Source organism: Homo sapiens, chromosome 12, assembly GCF_000001405.40.
Source record: "Homo sapiens chromosome 12, GRCh38.p14 Primary Assembly".
Classification (NCBI taxonomy): Eukaryota; Metazoa; Chordata; class Mammalia; order Primates; family Hominidae; genus Homo; species Homo sapiens.
This window is the reverse complement of record NC_000012.12, coordinates 118147365-118168178: the sequence shown is the minus strand read 5'-3', so window position 1 is coordinate 118168178 and position 20814 is coordinate 118147365. Positions and strand designations below refer to the sequence as shown.

At 42.8% G+C, this 20814-nt stretch overlaps 1 protein-coding gene across 12 annotated transcripts in view, besides 3 other annotated features; it reads left to right on the top strand.

Annotated features, from left to right (window-relative positions):
* Positions 1 to 18378, top strand: part of TAOK3 (TAO kinase 3) — a 223107-nt gene extending 204729 nt beyond the window's left edge. For 9 of the 12 annotated variants that reach the window (NM_016281.4, NM_001346487.2, NM_001346492.2 and 6 more), the window contains 4 exons: positions 6152 to 6391; positions 7821 to 8033; positions 15770 to 15952; positions 17021 to 18378. In NM_016281.4, the coding sequence (NP_057365.3) occupies positions 6152 to 6391; positions 7821 to 8033; positions 15770 to 15952; positions 17021 to 17182 (798 nt within the window). In that variant the 3' untranslated portion in view covers positions 17183 to 18378. The remainder of the gene's footprint in view (positions 1 to 6151; positions 6392 to 7820; positions 8034 to 15769; positions 15953 to 17020) is intronic. The other 3 variants (NM_001346493.2, NM_001346497.2, NM_001346496.2) reach the window with 1 other exon arrangement.
* Positions 884 to 993: an enhancer, noted in NCBI's record as "active region_7107". NCBI's record gives its function as "activates an Ori minimal core promoter by ATAC-STARR-seq in GM12878 lymphoblastoid cells {active_cell/tissue: GM12878}" and the evidence as "EXISTENCE:reporter gene assay evidence [ECO:0000049][PMID:35858748]".
* Positions 1234 to 1283: a silencer, noted in NCBI's record as "silent region_4924". NCBI's record gives its function as "represses an Ori minimal core promoter by ATAC-STARR-seq in GM12878 lymphoblastoid cells {active_cell/tissue: GM12878}" and the evidence as "EXISTENCE:reporter gene assay evidence [ECO:0000049][PMID:35858748]".
* Positions 14029 to 14229: a silencer, noted in NCBI's record as "peak1994 fragment used in MPRA reporter construct". NCBI's record gives its function as "represses an SCP1 promoter by STARR-seq MPRAs in K562 erythroleukemia cells {active_cell/tissue: K562}" and the evidence as "EXISTENCE:reporter gene assay evidence [ECO:0000049][PMID:32103011]".

Here is a 20814-nt window from a genome sequence, read left to right as displayed (position 1 = left end):
CTTTTCGACAATCCCATTCCACCCAATCTCTACCCTCAAACAGTCTCCATTAATTTGGCATGTATATTTCTAGGTTTTTTTCTATATACATATGTACAGCTATATTATATATGACTTTACAAAAATGAGATTACTTTTGTATCAGTAGGATTATTTGATTTGCAAGCAATAGAAATAAACTCTGGCTGACTTAAGGCTGAAAAGGAATTTATTGGAAGGATATGAGGTAGGTAAAGAGCTGAAGAACTGAGCGGGAAAACATGAAGAGCCACGCTGGTAAAGCAACTTCCATGACACAGAGAGCAAGGGCTCATGTGCAGTTCTCCAGGCACTGCCATTTCAGTGTACCTCCTCCAACCACTTTTTGTCTTTGTATCGTTTCTGTTCGAGATTAAAATTCCTAGGAGAGATATAACTTGATTGGGTCATGTGCTTATGCCTTATTCAACACTCTCTCTGATTCCAGATAAGGGGGAGTCATTTTGCAAAAAAAGGAAAAAAAAAAAAAAGAGCCTATAAAGAGAAGCAGGAAAAATGGAAGCTGAGCCTTACAAAAAGTAACAGATGTCCACTCCACTGTTTTGTAACTCTTTTTTCCATTTACCTTCCAGCACGTACAGCTCTGCTTCATTCTTTTTCATCTAATAGTATTTTGTTGTATGGCCTCAATATCATTTATTTAATGAGACACTTCTCGGTGGACATTTTGTTGAAGTTTTACAGTATTATTAATAATATAAGAACATTGTTGTACATAGATATTTTTACATGTAAACAAGTATTTTGGGGGATACATTTTCGGAAGTGGAATTCCTGGGTCAAAGAATGCATACATCTAAATTTTTAAAATAAATATCACTAAATTGCTCTCTAAAGGAGTTTATACTCCCACCAACAAAGCACAAGAATGCCTGGTTTCCTGTGTCTTTGCCTAAAGGATTGAGTATTAGCAATCCTTTTAATTAGTGAAAACAAGAAGATCACTGAAACTGGGTTGAGCCTCTTTCTCTATCACCAACACACACAGACACTCAGCATTTTCTGACCAGTGTTGAAACTAAGAACTGAAACTAAGAAGGCATTAAATGTCATAGGCTGACAGCATCTCTATTTAAAAGTTAGAATTCTCGTTTTTACTCAACCTCAGTGAGCCTGAGCATAAAAATTTGGCATGAGTGAAATCCGCTGCTTTTAAAGAAGTCAATACTACTTCCATTAGAAGTTAGAGTGCTTGAAACACACTGGACATTGACCGAGGGAAAGGAAGCTGCATGTATCTTATCCCACACTCCCTCCAGGGCTTATACGTGTGTGTGTGTGTGTGTGTGTGTATGTGTGTGTGTGTGTGTGTATATATATATATACACACACACACATACATTGAGTACATGGGTGGGCAGAATGATCTGTACCATTAAAACTGATTTTTTAGTTTTTGCTCAGCTCATTTTGTTAAATTTGTATAAGCTAAAGGTGCACATGATGTGGCTCTAGTGTGTATATTGTGTCATTTGTACAAATAAAGTAACCATTGTATCATGTCTAGCTAGAGCAGAATTCTTCAAAATATTTTATCACAGACTGAAAAAGTATAAAACAGGAAAGTATGCCATTTATTAGAACTTTTTTTTTTTTTTTTTGAGACGGAGTTTCGCTCTTGTTGCCCAGGCTGGAATGCAATGGCGCAGTCTCAGCTCACTGCAACCTCCGCCTCCCGAGTTCAAGTGATTCTCCTGCCTCAGCCTCCCAAGTAGCTGGGATTACAGGCATGTGCCACCACACCTGGCTAATTTTGTATTTTTGGTAGAGACAGGGTTTAACCACGTTGGCCAGGCTGATCTCGAACTCCTGACCTCAGCTGATCCACCTGTCTCAGCCTCCCAAAGTGCTGGGATTATAGGCATGAGCCACCGCGTCTGGCCTCATTTATTGGAACATTTCTAATGGAAAATGCTGAGAAGCTAAATACCTGAGTTTTAGCCTCAGTTCTCTTTATAGAAGTTGTGTAACTTTATGTTAGTCCTTCAACTCCCAAATGCCTACTAACACATATAAAAGGGGGAAATCCTTACAGTCTTATCACCTCATAGGGTGGCAATTTGGATTGAATGAGATGTATGGAATAACTTTTAAAAATGGAAAGCACATTAAACATTATTATGTAGGCACAGCACTGGCCTCATAATAAGGTGAATAATTTTTCCCCCATGTCTCAAATATTAAAGGTAGCTTACCATCTTACACCTCAGCAACTCAGATGTACAAATTAAAGGTGAAGGGAACAACTTGTAACAGAAAAGCCATTTCAGTATCATGTTTTTCTTACTCTTCTAATAGTTTATAAAAACTAGATTTAAGATATTATATGCCATGTATTCCCTTCTGAATAGAGAAAAATAATGACATTTATGTATTCTGAAGCACTTTCTTATGGTCTTTCATTTTATCTTTACAACTACGATAGTTCACAATGTGTACTGCTATCCTCATTTTACACCTGAAATACAGATTAAGAGACTTGCCCCAAGCCATACATAAGACTTATAGAGGAGCTGAAACTGACTCACACCCTTAGCACTTTTCCATTGATTCTCAAACTTTCATATATATCAGAATTAGCTGCGTAGCTTGTTATAGAGACTAGTCCCTTATAACACAGGTAATTCGGATGTAGGTATTCTGTGGACAGTATCTTGAAGCATTTCATTAAGCAGGAAGAGAAGCACTTGATTTCTTCTGAAGGTGTTTGCTTGCTTTGTGTGTTTTGCTTTGTGTCAAGAGCCCATGAGTTTCAGGGCTCTTAGCAACTCAGGCTCAGTTTGCATTTCTCAATTTAGGAAAGTGTGGGATGAATAAATGCCTGGTGTTGGGACTCCTGGACCTCAATTAAAGTCCTCATTTAAAGGGCTTTCCTTGGCCTGGGAGAGCTTTCGTCTGTGGGAAGGGCTCTCCATCCTTTGGTGCCACCTACGGGCCAGTTACTGCTTTGTAAAAAAGAAATTTGATGGTCTAGGTAAAGAAGAAAAATAAAACAAAGGAAAACACGGGAGGAGATGAGAGAGATAACTCTAAGGGCTTATTTTTTATTCCTTAAAACAAATTTAAATTGTATTTATACTTTGGGTTTTTTCTCCTTATAAGGTCGCTGAGGGGGTGTACATGTTCACTGTTCTATCCCTAGTTCCTACAACAGTGCCCAGCACATAGTAGGTGCTCAATAACTACTTGTTGAATGAATAAGTGAATGATTAGTGACTGTACTCTAGTACTAGATGCTGTGCTATTAAAAGGATTTCTCTTCAATCAATAGGGAGCCCAAGTGTGCAAGATATTTCCAACCACGCCAGTATAAAAATGTTATCGATGATATCTATTAAAATAAATAATTTGCATTTTCTCCTATAGTGGATGCCATCAGAGAAGAGAGGCCCTCTATTGTTCTAATTTAAAGTACAGCTGAGGCTGGGGCATGGTGGCTCACGCCTGTAGTCCCAGCACTTTGAAAGGCCGAGGCGGGTGGATCACCTGCGGTCAGGAGTTTGAGAACAGCCTGGCCAACATGGTGAAACCCCATCTATACTAAAAATACAAAAATTAGCCAGGCGTGGTGGTGGGCACCTGTAATCCCAGCTACTCGGGAGGCTGAGGCGGGAGAATTGCTTGAACCCTGGAGGCGGAGGTTGCAGCAAGCCAAGATCGCACCATTGCACTCCAGCCTGGGCAACAAAGTAGAAACTCCGTCTCAAAAATTTAATAAATAAGTATAAATAAAGTACAGCTCAAAAGCTTTCTCCTTTCCTTGACGTTCTTTTGTTTGTTTGTTTGTTTCGTTGTTGTTTTTCTGTTTTTTTTGAGACGGAGTCTCGCTCTGTCCCCCAGGCTGGAGTGCAGTGGCGCGATCTTGGCTCCCTGCAAGCTACGCCTCCCGGGTTCACGCCATTCTCCTGCCTCAGCCTTCCGAGTAGCTGGGACTACAGGTGCCCGCCACCAGGCCCGGCTAATTTTTTTTTTGTATTTTTAAGTGGAGACGGGGTTTCACCATGTTAGCCAGGATGGTCTCGATCTCCTGACCTCGTGATCCACCCGCCTCGGCCTCCCAAAGTGCTGGGATTGCAGGCGTGAGCCACCGCCCCAGGCTCCTTGACCTTCTTAATAGTAATACTGCTAGGTCGGGCACGGTGGCTCACGCCTGTAATCCTACCACTTTGAGAGGCCAAGGCGGGCAGATCACCTGAGATCGGGAGTTCGAGACCAGCCTGACCAACATGGAGAAACTCCATCTCTACTAAAAATACAAAAGTTAGCCAGGCGTGGTGGCATGTGCCTGTAGTCCAAGCTACTCTGGAGGTTGAGGCAGGAGAATTGCTTGAACCTGGGAGGCGGAGGTTGCTGTGAGCCGAAGTCACACCATTGCACTCCATTGCACTGGGCAACAAGAGCAATACTCTGTCTCAAAATAATAGTAATAATAATACCACCCTTTTCAGAAATCTTATAGCATAAAATCTTTACCCCTTTTATAGCATTCATCACTTATCCAACATTGCTCTCTCTCTTTTTTTTTTTTTAATTTGGACGTAAAACTTATTTCCTGGCTGGGCATGGTGGGGTGGCTCATGCCTATAATCACAGCATTTTGGGAGGTTGAGATGGGAGGATCACTTGAGTCCAGGAGTCCGAGACCAACCTGGGCAACATAGTGAGACCCCATCTCTACCCCCACCCCCCCCAAAAAAAAAGTATGTCCCTGTATTAATTAAGATTTTTTTGTTTGCATGTTAACTGAAATTTATTTCAGCTAGCTTAAGCCAAAACCAGGGAAATTACTATAGAAATACAGGAATGTCTTATAAAATCGAATAGCAGTAATACAGCTAGACCTACTGGAGGGCTCAGAAGCAGTAAGTAACTTAGGCATCAGTATATTCCCTGCACTTCTTTCTTTTCCTTTCTTCTTGATCTGAAGCCCAGCTTTCTCTAATCCTCAGCCCTCATAGCAGCAGATGACTACCACATATGTGGTTTTTATATGCCTTAATTCCAGCCACACATAGAGATTAACTGGTTCTGAATATCAATTCCAAATTCCGAGTAGAGAAAATAAATTGACCCAGGTTGGGCCACGTATCTAAATCTGATTCAGTGAGCTTTGAGCAGAGCATATACTTCAATAAATGTCTAGTGCACTTCCCTGTTGGAGTGTCAGTGAGTTGAGGACAGAAGTCATGGTTTAATAAATATTTTTATGTACTGAGAGCACATTGTTCTGATCTTCATATATAGTGCTATTTAGGAAATATTCTTCAATTGAGGAATGAAAAGATTTCACCCAACTTCCCCTTTTTTCTAGTTTGCTTTCCTTTCCTCCTTCAATACCAAAGAAAGAAAGAAAGAAAAGGAAGAAAGAAAGACATGAGTAGAACGGAAAAGAACAGAGTGATTAGATCTATAAATGATCAAACAGACTGTAATGCAGAAGATGAAAGGGGAGAGATCTCATCTGTTTTTTTTTCCCCAACATGCCTTGAACTCTGAGATTTTAAAAAATAGACAATTGGCCTACCTCTGATTCATGCAAAAACAGAGTATTTCCCAGAAAGCTAAGAACATTGCAGATATTATCAGTTTAATTCTCAATCTTGATTGCTTATTGGCACCACCTGGAGAACTCTTCCCAATACTGACATCAGGCTCCCACCCCAGACAGTTATAAGAATTTCACCCTGTGAGATTCAAGCATCTTATGTTTGAAAAGTTTCCTCACATGATTTTTATGGGCCGTCAGGGTGTAGGACCACTAGCTTCACTGAAGAAACATTTATGTAGACCTATGCATAGCACATCACCTAACTAAGGTTCACAGCAGCTCTGTGAGGTAAGAGAGAGTCAGGTAGAATTAATCCCATTTTACAGAGAGTACAGTAGTGATTGCTGTGAAGTTGCCCATTTTGTAAGTGGTGGACCCAGGAACAGAACCTAAACCTGAAGAGATTGTTAATTTAATCTCATTAAGTCCTGCTGCCAAACACTAATGGGTTTAATTAAGAGATGGTTAGCAGTGCCATTCCTTGCCCTCCCTCACTTAGTTGTGCATTCCTTCCAGTTCATCTCCATTCACCTCTCTCCGTTTATCTTTTGTTCCTGGACGCAGGAACTAAATAAAAAGAGGACCCAGAAGGAGATGGAGCATGCCATGCTAATCCGGCACGACGAGTCCACCCGAGAGCTAGAGTACAGGCAGCTGCACACGTTACAGAAGCTACGCATGGATCTGATCCGTTTACAGCACCAGACGGAACTGGAAAACCAGCTGGAGTACAATAAGAGGCGAGAAAGAGAACTGCACAGAAAGCATGTCATGGAACTTCGGCAACAGCCAAAAAACTTAAAGGTAAGATTTGTGCTGCTGGACAGTGTTGGACCAGATCAGTGGTTTCTCTACCTGAAGTGTCAGAGTCACCTGAGCAACTTTTCAGAATCACAAATTTCTGCACCCCACACCTATTGTATCAGAATCTCCAGTTGCAAAGCACAGAGTCTATATTTAAGCTCCTGAAAAGGAGATGTTGGGCAAGCTGGTTTGGAAACTATTATTATACTACATTATCTATCAATTTGTCATCATATCCATTATGGAATTTCTCTGAGCACTTCATGACCTGCCATCTTCAAAACTGGACTAATAGCAGTTTATGGTTTTAATCCCAGGAAATAAGGAAGTTCTATTGGTGTTAGGTACTTTGAGCACTGCTGTATTGAGAAAGACTCTAAAGCCACATCCAAGCTTAGGAGGAAAGAGTGTCATTTATTAGTGATGTCTGTCATGGTCATCAGGAATGAATCTATAAGTGCCAGGCATTTACCACTTCTGCACTAGAGATGCAGAGATGTGGAGGAACTCCTGTAGCCCTCACTGCCTCCAGCTAATTTTAGCTGACTGCTAATTAACAAGCTCTGTGTACTAAGCCATTGCTATATATCCGGGAGGACGTTGTCAGTGTTGCCACAGATATGAGGCCAACCTGGATCACACTGGCTATGCGTCTCTTCAGTCAAATTCTAAGCTAAGCAATGATTTCTATCACCATAAGTCCTCAGAGTGTTCGTGAAGTGCACACATGACTGTGGGGCAACCTGATGGAATGCCTTCTGGGCTCAAAATAATATACTCTACCTTCTCTTTGCCCAAATGCATATTTTATATTGCTACATGCAAGCACAACCTCTTAATGGGGAAAAAAATTCTAAATCACTTTTCTCTCTCAGTTTACGCTGAAATCCAGTAGAAATGCGTTAGGATATAAGGTACCATCCATATACTCTCCTTTATGGAGTTGATAAGAAATTGCTATAAACCAGAGCAGTGAGAGCTGGCTTATATAATGCTATCCCCTGTCTCACTTGAAAACAGGGTGAAACACAGAAACAAAAAAAAAGGGGGGAAAAACAATGAACAATGGAAGACACTGAAGTGTCTGACTAGGAAAGCATGAAAAGAGTTGCCACTCTTTCAACAAGCTAAGCTTCATAGTATCGCTCAATCTGCTTAGAGTTGTCATCCCCTTGTAACAGTCCATATTTTCTTTGACCCCATTTGTAAATTCAAAATTACTTATAGTCATTCAATATAAAACCAAAAGTACAGGTAGAGTTAACTTTTGTCTGTGTCATACATACTGCTTGATTTTTATTGATTAGCAATGTGAGTCACTGCACCAAAAAACAGACGCTCTCAGCACTTGTATTATATCATTATGGTAGAAGGCTTTCTGTATTTACTGATGTGCCTTTATTTTTCCTTTGTCACTTTTTCTACCCAGGCCATGGAAATGCAAATTAAAAAACAGTTTCAGGACACTTGCAAAGTACAGACCAAACAGTATAAAGCACTCAAGAATCACCAGTTGGAAGTTACTCCAAAGAATGAGCACAAAACAATCTTAAAGACACTGAAAGATGAGCAGACAAGAAAACTTGCCATTTTGGCAGAGCAGTATGAACAGAGTATAAATGAAATGATGGCCTCTCAAGCGGTAAGTGGTTAGGTTTGGTGCCACGGCTTCGAGAGCTTTGGGAATCAAGAAAATCCAAGATCCAGCCTGTTGTTCCCAAGATGATTCTTGCACAAATTTAGGATATTGATGTTTTTCTGCCCAAAGGACTGAGGAAAGGACGACGTTGAATAAAGCCAAGCCAATGTGGATACTTGCTGGAGTGTCTTATAAGATGGAACTCAAGGAGTGACATGCCACATCAGACCTGTGGCACATAGGGACTTTGAGGGCAAATGTGATAGATACCACATATGATACCATGTGTTCATTTATGAAAGATTTTACTGACTGCCCTCCCCGCAACTAATATCAGGCACAAATGAATAAGAGTCCCTGCCCTTAGGGAGCCCACAGTCAAGTGAGGAAGACAGATACACAGACACACTCATGCAATAAACTTTTATTAAGCATCAGTGTTCAGCACTCTGCTGGACTCAGAGGTGGAGGATGAGCTAGACAGACAATTTGTCAGTCAAGCCAGGTGGTCAGATAATTAAGCAGTAATAGTAAAACATGGTAAGTGGGGCCGGGCGCGGTGGCTCACGCCTGTAATCCCAGCATTTTGGGAGGCCGAGGCAGGTGGATCACAAGGTCAGGAGTTCGAAACCAGGCTGACCAACATGGTGAAACCCCATCTCTACCAAAAGTACAAAAATTAGCTGGGCAGGCACCTGTAGTCCCAGCTACTCAGGAGGCTGAGGCAGGAGAATCACTTGAACCCGGGAGGTGGAGGTTGCAGTGAGCTGAGATCACATCACTGCACTCCAGCCTGGGTGACAGAGCAAGACTCTGTCTCAAAAAAAAAAAAAAAAGTGAGTGATTTGAAATGGGAGGTACTGGGGGTTAGGGGAGAACAAGTAGGACTAACTAAGCTCGTCTAGGGAAATCTTCCTAGAGGGAGCCAAGAAACTTTAAGGAATTCATTGACATAAACCGATTCCTTGAAACTGGGACCTACATAGGCAAAGGTTCAAACAGAGGAAAATATATGGAGACAGAAAGAACTTTGGTGTGAGCCCAAAGTTCAAGGAGGAAGATTGCAGGAACCCAGAATGGAGAGGTCATAAAGGGAGCTTGGGATGGGAGCTTGCCTGGTAATTCGGTGAAGCTTTCCCAAGGAGATGAGTCTTAAAGAGTAATAGTTTACCAAATAGGCATAAAAGAAAAAGTTGTTCCTGACAGAGGATACAGTATATGCAAAGACTTAGAGACGTGAAAGAGGATGGCACATTTGAGAAACAATGAGTAATTGCTATGGCAAGAGTATAGGATGCTTGTTGAGGGAAAGCGGGAGGATAGTCAGGGTCAGAGCCTCAGAAGCCAGGAGTTTGAATGTTATTTTGTAAGCAATGGAGAGCTGTTGAACCGTGTTTTAAGAAGGAAAGCATAACTGGATCAGATTTGTGTTACAGAAAGATATTAGCAGAAATGTGGCAAATATAGGTAAAGAGACCTGTTAGGAAGCCATTATAATAGTTCAGGAAAAAGGTGATGAGAGAACATGCTAATGGAGATGGAGAGGAGTGGGGAAGGTTTTAAGAAATATTTAGGAGGCAAGAATAGAAATAACTTAGTGACCAATTTGAGAGGTTTGACAACAGAGTAGAATAGGTCATTATCTTACCAAGCTAGAACAATAAAAGAGTGAGTTTGGATGCCTGCAAGGATAATTGACTAAGTTGTAGACCTGGTGTCTGCGTTTTGTGGGTGACCAGGTAGAGAGGTACAGATAATGGAAACCTGCAGTTTAGGAGGGATGTCAAGATTAAAGGCAGAAAGCTAGACTTCATTGTTATATGTGTGCACTTGTGGCTGGTAGGAATGGATGAGATCTGCTGGGGACGGGAGGTATTCTTAGAGAGGAAAGAACTAAGGACAGAGTCTGGTAGACATCAACATTTGAGGGCTGAGGTAGAAGTAGAACAAAAGTGAATAATCAGAGACACAGGAAGGGAACCCGAAGAGAGCATGTCACAGGAGCCAGAGCAGGAGTTTCTAACTGACAGCGTCACATGTTGCAGAGATCAATTAGAAGAATAAACTTTGAGGTGTTCATTGGACCTAGCACTGGATTCGTCCATTGCTTGTCTCGGACAATCAGTGGAGTGGTGGGACTGGGAGACATTATAGAGCATTGAATGAGGGATTATAAAGTGAAATCCAGATGGTAAGTGAGACTGCTTTTCCCAGATCCTCATCAATGAAGGAAAAGAGAACAAGAGCTTTAGCAAAAGGAGAGAGAGTTGAAGAAAGACTTCTGTTAGTTGGGAGATGCTTAAGCATGCATGTTCTTAGGCCGAGGATGGGAGCTAGTGCATTCATCTATTCATCCATCCAGCAAGTATTCATTGAGTGCCTACGTGATGTACCAGGCATCTGGAGATACAGTGGTGGATAAGACAGTCATGAATCACGTCTTTATGGAGTTTATGGAAGCATGGAGGAAACAGACATTGGAAAAGTCTACTCCGTGTAATGTCAGAGCAAGAGCAAGGTGCCAACAGACTGCAAAGCAGGAGAGCTCACCTGGTCTGGAGAGTCAGGAGAGGCCTCCCTGGCACAATGGCTATGTAGGCTGAGGAACCTACACATGAGGAACGTGTGAACATTGGGAAGGCAGTGGCACTTTGGAAGAATTCACAGAAATCTATTATGTTTGGGATGTAGGGAACTAGGAGAGGACTAACATGAGAACAAGACTGGAGGGGTAAACAGGCTGGGTCACGTAGGGGCTTTCAGGCTTTGTTAAGAATTTTTGTCTTTATCCGAAACAATGAAAAGCCACTGGAGGGTATTAAGCAGGGTGTGACATCAGATTTGTGTTTTTGAACCATCACTCTGGTGACATGGAGAATGGCCTGGGAGATGGGAAGAATGGATATTAGGAGATGATTTGTGAAGTGACTTTTACCTGGGGTATGAGGGAGTGGTAGCCAGACTAGAAAAGGGGCAGTCGGGATGAAGGGGGAAGTTACTAAATTTGGTGGGAGGTAGAATTGAGAGTACTTAATGACAGGTTGGATGTGGAGAGTCCAGTGTTCAGGATGACTTCCAGTCTCTGGTTTGAACAAAACAGTAGATGATGGGCCAGGCATGGTGGCTCATGCCTGTAATCCTAGCACTTTGGGAGGCCGAGGCAGGCAGATCACCTGAGGTCAGGAGTTCGAGACCAGCCTGGCCAGTGTGGTAAAACCCTGTCTCTACTAAAAATACAAAAATCAGTTGGGCTTGGTGGCACACACTTGTGTAATCCCAGCTACTTGGGAGACTGAGGCGGGAGAATCGCTTGGACCCAGGAGGCAGCAGAGGTTGCAGTGAGCCGAGATCACGCCACTGCACTCCAGCCTGGGTGACAGAGTGAGACTCCATCTAAAAAAAAAACAAAAATAAAGCAGTAGATGATGGTCTACCTGTATTTACCTATATGGTAAAAAAGGAAGTGGAACAGATTGGGGTGTGGGAAGGAAAAGGTGATGTATTGGCTGCGGGGAGCCTGAGAGCCTGGGAAACATCCAGAGGAGGATGTCTCTGGTAGACTACAGGAGCTCGTCTGGACCTCAGAAGGAAAGTCTGAAATAGAGGTTTAGTGTGGGAGTCATTTGTACATATGTAGATGGTAATTGAGGCTTTTGAAATAGATGAGATTCTTAGGAAGAGCGGTTAGAGGAAGAAGAGGGCCCAGGACAAAGCCCTTAAGAACACCCACATTTAAGGACCAGGTAGGTAAGGACTACTGGAAAGGGAATAGTCAGAGAGGGAAGACAAAAACCAAGAAGTTGTGGTATCTCAGAAGACAAAGATTTCAAGAAGGAAGGGGCAGTCAGCAATACCAAATGCTGCTGGAAGGTCAGGTAACAGGCCACTTCCAGGCTATCATGGGTCACCTTAATGTGAGCGGTAGAAGTAGAGGGTTAGGATCAGAATGAGTGCGAGGAAAGGTTTGCAGAGGGAGATGAAAGGCAAAGAGAAGGAAGAAGTTGATAGACACATGGAGGTTGATAGGGTTTTTGTCTTGTTAATCTTTATATGCTCAGCCTCTGCAACAATGTGTGGCATACAACAAGCGTTCAATGAATGTTTGTTATATAAAATGGGAGAGACCAGGCGCGGTGGCTCACGCCTGTAATCCCAGCACTTTGTGGGAAGGGTCACTTGAGGCCAAGAATTCTTGGCCAGCCTAGGCAACATAGCAAGACCCTGTCTTTACAAAAAATACAAAAATTAGCCAGGCATGGTGGCACATGCCTGTAGTCCCAGTAACTTGGGAGGCTGAAGCAGGAGGATCACTCAAGCCCAGGAGTTCAAGGCTGCAGTGAGCTATGATCACACCACTGCACTCCAGCCTGAGCAACAGAACAAGACTGGGACTCTTAAAAAAAATAAATAAGATGAGAGAGAACAGGATCAGAAATACAGGTCAATGATTACCCTTGAATAAAAGGAGAGAAATGCCCTTTCTTCTGAGACAGGGAGAAGATAAGTGTGTGATCATTACAGCATCCTTTACTGACTACTTACCATGTGGCAAGTACAATCAATGTTAAACATCTCATAAGTGTTACCTCATTTCATTTTTGTGAAACCCCTTTGAAGTAGTTACTGTTTTGACCCTAATTTACCTGTGAGGAAACTGAAGTTCACTGAAGTAAAGCTACTTTCTTAGGACAGGAGTTGGCAAACTTTGTCTGTAAAGGGACAGATAGTAATTAGCTTTGTGGACCACAGGGTCTCTGTCACAGCTACTCAGCTTTGCCATTGTAGCACAAATGCAGCCATAGACAAAACATAAATTAATGAGTATTATCAATGTCCAATAAAACTTTATTTATGGCTGGGCGAAGCGGCTCATGCCTGTAATCCCAGCAATTTGGGAGGCTGAGGCGGGTGGATCACCGGAGGTCAGGAGTTCGAGACCAGCCTGGCCAACCTGGTGAAACCTCATCTCTGCTAAAAATACAAAAATTAGCTAGGCATGGTGGCACGTGCCTGTAATCCCAGCTACTCAGGAGGCTGAGGCAGGAGAATCGCTTCAACCAGGGAGTCGGAGGTTGCAGTGAGCTGAGATCACACCACAGCACTCTAGCCTGGTGACAGAGTGAGACTCCATCTCAAAAAAAAATATATATATATATTTACAAAACCAGGCACCAGGCTAGATTTGGCCCATGGGCTGTAGTGTGCCAACCACTGGCTTGGGGGGATAAGGGGGAAGGTCACATAGCTAATTAGTGGTAGAGCTAGGATTTGAACCCATCTTGGGGGGAATCCTGTGCGCCTGTATGCTTGGCTGCTTCTACATTATGTTGCCTCTTATCGTATCTTCAGTGTAAGCCACTGTAAAGATCAGACATATTTACCTATACTCTTATAAAACTTTTTAATGGAGCTGGGCACGGTGGCTCACACCTATAATCCCAGTATTTTGGGAGGCCAAGGCAGGCGGATCACCTGAGTTCAGGAGTTTGAGACCAGCCTGGCCAACATGGTGAAATGCCATCTCTATTAAAAATACAAAAAATTAGCTGGGCCTGGTGGCACTTACCTGTAATCTCAGCTACTCGGGAGGATGAGGCAGGAGAATCACTTGAACCTGGGAGAAGGAGGTTGCAGTGAGCTGAGATCACATCACTGCACTCAGCCTGGGCAACTGAGTGAGACTGTCTCAAAAACCACGAAAAAACAACTTTTTAATGGATTTGATGTGTGTAACCTTGGGTGATAAAAACTAAATGCTGGAATATCCTCTGATTTCTAGCACTGGGCCATCAGTCAGAGCTGGTACAGAACAATGGTACCAGTTACTGCTAATAATAATAGCGTGCCAGAAACAAAAGGAAATGGAGATGTTCTAAATGTTTAAAGATATTTAGATGTTTAGATGGTCTAAATTGACCATAGAATGAACCTCTCACCCACTTAGCTGGGGCTTACAGCAACTAATGCAGACAAGTAGAAAAGAACAGGACTTTCACTGCCTTTACTGATAAGGAACCTCCCATATCAAGAGGGAATCAGTAACAACCCTCATTGGGAGCCAGTAAATCCTTTGGCATTTACCTGTGAGTCTGTTCCTGCCAAAGACTATGTATTGTGTCTAGTGTCTCTTATCCCTTCATTCCTTACTGGGAAAATGAGAACTGTCTGTCCTCTTTAAGGGTTTTAATGAAACCTGGTTAGGATTAATTTTTAGAAGGTACCTTGGAAATATGATTATGTAATTTATTTTGTTCCTTTAATCTCTATAGTATGTTTCTCCAGAAGTACTAAAAGAAGATACATGCAAATAACTAAAACTATTTTAATATAACATTTCAAAAAGTAATTTTTCAATCAAGATATGTATATTGTCACAAATTGTACATAAGGTGGAGAATAAGTATCTTGGAAAAGTGGTCAATAAGGAAACACAGATAAGCTCAGGGTAAATGGACTGATTCAAGGGTTCTAATCTCATAGTTCTCAGCCAAACTGTGGGCCTGCCAAAATTGGACCAAACCAAGCCTGCAACCCAGGGTCATCATTCCTAAACACTGTCCTGCTGATGGTCCGAAACCTTCTACTCTGCTTTGAGAAGTTGGCGCTTCTACTTGGTTCATTCTCCACGCAGGATCTGGGTATCTTGTATAAGACAAAGTTCAGGCACTGCTTCAAAGCAGTTATGCCTCTTAAAATTGTCAAGCCTACCTACCCTCTGAGAGGAAGAGATTTTTTTTTTATGAGACAAAGTCTCTGTCTGCCAAGCTGGAGTGCATTGGTGTGATCATAGCCCACTGCAGCCTCGAACTCCTGGGTTCAAGAGATTCTTCTGCCTCAGCCTCCCAAAGTAGCTGGGACTACAGGCACATGCCACCATGCCTGGCTAATTTTTTAAAAAATCTTTGTATAGATGGGGGTCTCACAATATTTCCCAAGCTAGTATTGAATGCCAGGCCTCAAGCAATCCTCACACCCTGGCCTCCCAAAGCGCTGAGATAACAGAGGTGAGCCACCAGCCAGGGAAGAGATTTTGAACCATTTGGAGTTTTGGATTGGCTGGCTAGCAATGTAACTTTTATAGCCAACAATAGGTGCCAACATTACTACTTGGAGCATAACAGTACTGTGGTATATTCCTCAAGTTTTATGGAAATTGGAATCAATTTTTTAGAGCTAAGCATATCTAAATGATTTTAGGGTTAAAGAACTTGAAATAAGGACATGATCAGTTGAAACCGAAATAATGATAACCACTACTATTTATTGAAAACTTGTAATGCATTGAGAACTGTGCCTAGGATTTTATATTAATTCTTTCATTTAATCCTCCCACCAATCTCAGGCAATAGGAACTATTCTTGTTATTTTCTTGAGAATGAAACACATGAGATCTAGAGAGGTAGGTAATGTGCCAAGGTGTGACACACACAAAGTGGATGGTGTAGCTGTAATTCAAGCCCAGGAGCCTACCTCCAAAGCCCACAGGTGTAGCCTTCCTGACGCCTGCTGCTGTGGTTTCAGATCATACTGAAAAGAATGTGTTTGGTATTGTAGCCCATTGGGCAGACTTGACTGTTTTTGATTCCCAACTCTGAATGTACCCAGAGCATCTGTGTTTTTGAGGGGGCAACCAATTTCAATCCAAATGAGGAAACCTCTTCCAGTAGTCACCAAGGGCTGTAGGCCACCAAGGGCTGTAGGCAAGGGTGCATGACCGTGTGTGTCTTCTGTGTCCGCAGTTACGGCTAGATGAGGCTCAAGAAGCAGAATGCCAGGCCTTGAGGCTACAGCTCCAGCAGGAAATGGAGCTGCTCAACGCCTACCAGAGCAAAATCAAGATGCAAACAGAGGCACAACATGAACGTGAGCTCCAGAAGCTAGAGCAGAGAGTGTCTCTGCGCAGAGCACACCTTGAGCAGAAGGTAAGGGAGCATTACCAGGGGTCCGGTGCCACTGGGTGGAAGGGGGCGTGGCTGAGGGAACTGCCATATATGCAGCCTTCCTTAGTTAGAGATTAAACTGGGCACTTTTCACTTATCTGCTTTATGCTACTGGTACCCTTGTGAGGTAGGCATTGTCCCCCTTCTACAGACCGAAACACCAAGGCACGCATGTCTGACCCCACATCCTAAGTCTTTCTTCTGCTCTGCTAGGAAACCCTCAACGTTCCCAGCCAGAGGAATGATGTGGGTTGCTGGGGTGGTTGATGTGACACCTGAAAGGTACTGTGAGCTGACAGCAGGGCTGCCAAATGGCACGAGGAAGCCAAATGTACAATAGATTTGACTTTTCAGCTATTTTTAAACCGAGAGAAATCACCAGCAGGGCTGTTTAAAAAAAAATTAAAATGATGATAGGCTGATATTGCCATGCATAAATGTTATCCCAACTGAAATATTCATTGCTTTAGAAATTCTGAGGAATATGAAGTAGAAAACATTTCATAAGGCATCTCAAAGCTGTTAAGCATTTATTTGCTTAACCAGTTATTTGCACTTTCTTCCAGTAGTTCCCTGAGACCAACGTAACAGACTATTTTCCCAGCTCCTGTTCTAGAACTAAATTACTAATGACCCAGGAGGCATTTGGCTCTCTGTGGGAAAGCAGCACAATCCAATTGTGCTTGAGTGTCTTTTAGCTTCTCATGAGCCATCCCCTAACACAGGACACTGACCTAGATCCGCCCAGCCGCTGGGCTTGCTAGAACGGCATTGCCAGCCCCAGGTGGACCCCAAACATTGATATTCTTGTGAGCAAGTTTTAAATATAATGATTTAGATGCATTGATCACAGGACTCAGCCAGCCTTCCTCGGTCCTCCCGTAGTTCCTGTGTGTGTGTGTGTGTGTGTGTGTGTGTGCGCGCGCGCGCACTTCATGTGTGTGCCTATGTGTGTGTGCATGTCATATGTGTGCCTATGGGTGTATCGCGTGCACGTGGGTGCCTGTTAGGAGATGCTTTCCATTAAGAACTGCATCGTGCTTCTTTCAGATTGAAGAGGAGCTGGCTGCCCTTCAGAAGGAACGCAGCGAGAGAATAAAGAACCTATTGGAAAGGCAAGAGCGAGAGATTGAAACTTTTGACATGGAGAGCCTCAGAATGGGATTTGGGAATTTGGTTACATTAGATTTTCCTAAGGAGGACTACAGATGAGATTAAATTTTTTGCCATTTACAAAAAAAAAAAAAAAAAAGAAAACAGAAAAAAATTCAGACCCTGCAAAACCACATTCCCCATTTTAACGGGCGTTGCTCTCACTCTCTCTCTCTCTTACTCTTACTGACATCGTGTCGGACTAGTGCCTGTTTATTCTTACTCCATCAGGGGCCCCCTTCCTCCCCCCGTGTCAACTTTCAGTGCTGGCCAAAACCTGGCCGTCTCTTCTATTCACAGTACACGTCACAGTATTGATGTGATTCAAAATGTTTCAGTGAAAACTTTGGAGACAGTTTTAACAAAACCAATAAACCAACAACAAAAAAAGTGGATGTATATTGCTTTAAGCAATCACTCATTACCACCAATCTGTGAAAGTAAAGCAAAAAATAATAATAATAAATGCCAAGGGGGAGAGAGACACAATATCCGCAGCCTTACACCTTAACTAGCTGCTGCATTATTTTATTTTATTTTATTTTTTTGGTATTTATTCATCAGGAATAAAAAAAACAAAGTTTTATTAAAGATTGAAAATTTGATACATTTTACAGAAACTAATTGTGATGTACATATCAGTGGTGACATATTATTACTTTTTTGGGGACGGGGGGTGGGTGGGGTGAAGAGATCTTGTGATTTTTAAGAACCTGCTGGCAAGAGTTTAACTTGTCTTCAGCATATTCTGATTGTATCATAATCATTTTCTGCTGTTGCAGAGGATGTGAATACACTTAAGGAGCTCACAGAATCCCAGTAGCACAAATTGGGCTTTGGCAAATCGTGTATTTTGTGTATAGAAGGAATTTAAGGAGAGGTATTACTTATTTTCATATTGTATTTTAACTGTTTCTCTGATCAAATTTTTTTACTTCCTCCTCCTGTTCCTCCCCACCTCCCTCCTTTTCCAGTTCAGTATTTGGAGTTCAACACTGTCTCTCAATCAGATCATCTTGATCTTTTTCTTTATCTCCCTTCCCCTTCCTAAGTCCCATTTCTTGGTCATAAATATTGCATTATTCACACTTTCAAACTGTGTATTTTCTTACAATAAAAAATGATGAAAAAAAAAAAGGCTTTACTTCTTTTGCATGCACTTTAAAAACAAAACAAAACATTTTTCAGGTTCCAAGGAAGAGCATGATAACTGTCAGAGCTTTTAATTATATTTGTAAATAAAAGTGTTCATCACATCGCCTTGCTGTGTTATTGTAGCAGGAAGTTTCCCTTCTAGGTTCACCAGTTCACAACTCAGAGGGACAGCCACCCTCCTGAAACTGTTCTCCATAGCCTCGGTCGCTCCAAGAAGAGCCATTCAAGCCTTTCAGGTAAAGCTCTGTCTTCCAAGTTCTTCTATGGGGCTGAAGATAGTGTTGCACCATTCGATGTGGGCACGTGGTCAACTGCACCTTTCTGTCCTAAAGAATAGAAGGCATGTGCGCGCGCACGCGCGCACACACACACACACACACACAAAACCCCCCACGTGCCAGTCGTGCATAGAAGCATGCATTGCTGAAGAGAGAAATTGGGCACCCTTAAAGAAAAGCAGGCTGTGGAGAAGGCACTATAACCAAATATTTGAAATGACCCCACTGTAATATTAGATCCCTCTCCCCTCATATTCTGCTTTTATTAGAATAATTTTACATGTAAAACAATGAGATAGTAAAAAATATAAAATTTCAGGGATATGATTTGGGAGTCAGGACAATCTCAGTAAGATCCCAAATGCTTAAGCCTCTATCAATCAGGCTTGTCCAACCCACCTTATTTTGTTGTTACTCTGTTTTGTTTTGTTCTAGGCTTTTGGCAGCCTGAAGCTATGGTTTTTGGTTTCTGTGTCTAGTGATAAATGGAAAAGGGGGACGAGGAAGGGGCTTTACTGGCCCAACCAGAAACAGAAACTAAGAACCCATGACTTGTGTTCTCTCCCTTGGACACTCCTGGAAATTGCTCTTTAGAGTATGATGACGTGGGGTGGGCCCAGCACTTTGGAAGGCTGAGGTGGGTGGATCACCTGAGGTCAGGAATTCAAGACCAGCCTGGCCAACATGGTGAAACCCCATCTCTACTAAAAATACAAAAATTAGCTGGGTGTGGTGGCGGGCACCTGTAATCCCACCTACTCGGGAGGCTGAGGCAGGAGAATCGCTTGAACGTGGGAGGCGGAGGTTGCAGTGAGCCAAGATGGCACCACTGCACTCCAGCCTGGGCAACAACAGTGAAACTCTGTTTCAAAAGAAAAGAATATGATGACCTAAAGATCACTCTTGTTTCCTACAGGATGTTCATGTATCGGAGACAAATGTGACCAGTCATGTTCACTCTGATAGGCTAAAGCAGAAAGGTATACTCATAAATAATTATCAACATGGGTTAATCCCAACTACAAAACCTTCTGTAACATCACACTCAGTGATAATTGTGTTTCCTAAGTACCTCTGTTCATTGGAGTTTCTATATTAGGTACATCTGAAAATAATACTGGAAAGGGTTAGAGAAACAGATAACGTCGATGGCGTGCTTACGCTTGCCACATGATGGAACACTAGGCTTTCACAAATGAAGAAATAAGCTCACTCCAGTGGCAGGGTGGGGTCTGAATCGAGACCTGTCTGATCTATACCCAAAGGAGTATTCCACCTTCAGTAGGGTAGAAAAGCTTCCTGTAGCCTCTTTCATCCATTTCTCACTGTGGTGAGAAATGTCTAGCTAGTTTGGGAAAGGGCCCTATGTCTGAGATTGTAGGTGCTATCTTTAGAAAAGGTCTCGGTGGCTCACAGCTGTAATCCCAGCACTTTGGGAGATCGAGGTGGGTGGATCATCTGAGGTCAGGAGTTTGAGATCAGCCTGGCCAACATGGTGAAACCCCGTCTCTACTAAAAATACAAAAATCAGCCGGGCGTGGTGGTGGGCGCCTATAATCCCAGCTACTCGGGAGGCTGAGGCAGGAGAATCGCTTGAACCCGGGAGGCGGAGACTGCAGTGAGCCAAGATGGCACCACTGCACTCCAGCCTGAGCAACAGAATGAGACTCGGTCTCAAAAAAAAGTCCCACTGCGCAAGTTTGTCAAGGATGTGTCCCAGGGCAGTTACCCGGAAGCAGGGATGTGGGTCCCTGCTCCTAACAAACACCTGCTATGGACAGAGTTGTCCTACTCCTCCTAGTACCTGCCTGAGGAGGCAGTAAGGAAGGCAGGGGGACTAGGAAGGCTGAGGCAGGAGAATCGCTTGAACCCAGGAGGCGGAGGCTGCAGTGAGGAAACAGACCTGAGGAAACTGGACTTTTGTACTTTGTTCTTATATGACAATCAGGCCAAGTTTAGTCATTTACATACATTAACTCTTAATCCCAAAAAAGATGATTTTGTCCTCCAACAACGCTGTGAGGTAAATAAGGCAGGCTGACAACCCCCTGCAACCCTGATGTTTTTTCAAATGAGGAAGCTGGAATTTGTGACCCAGTGGGCCCGGTGGTTATCAGCTGGACCTTGAGGCCAGAGTTGAGTTCAGAATGGGGGTCACCCCCTTCCTAGCCGCCCTTGGGGAAGTTCACATCACATACCAGTTGAAGGCATCACCCTTCTTTCTTAGATGACTACTGCCTTCTCATATATATGTATTTT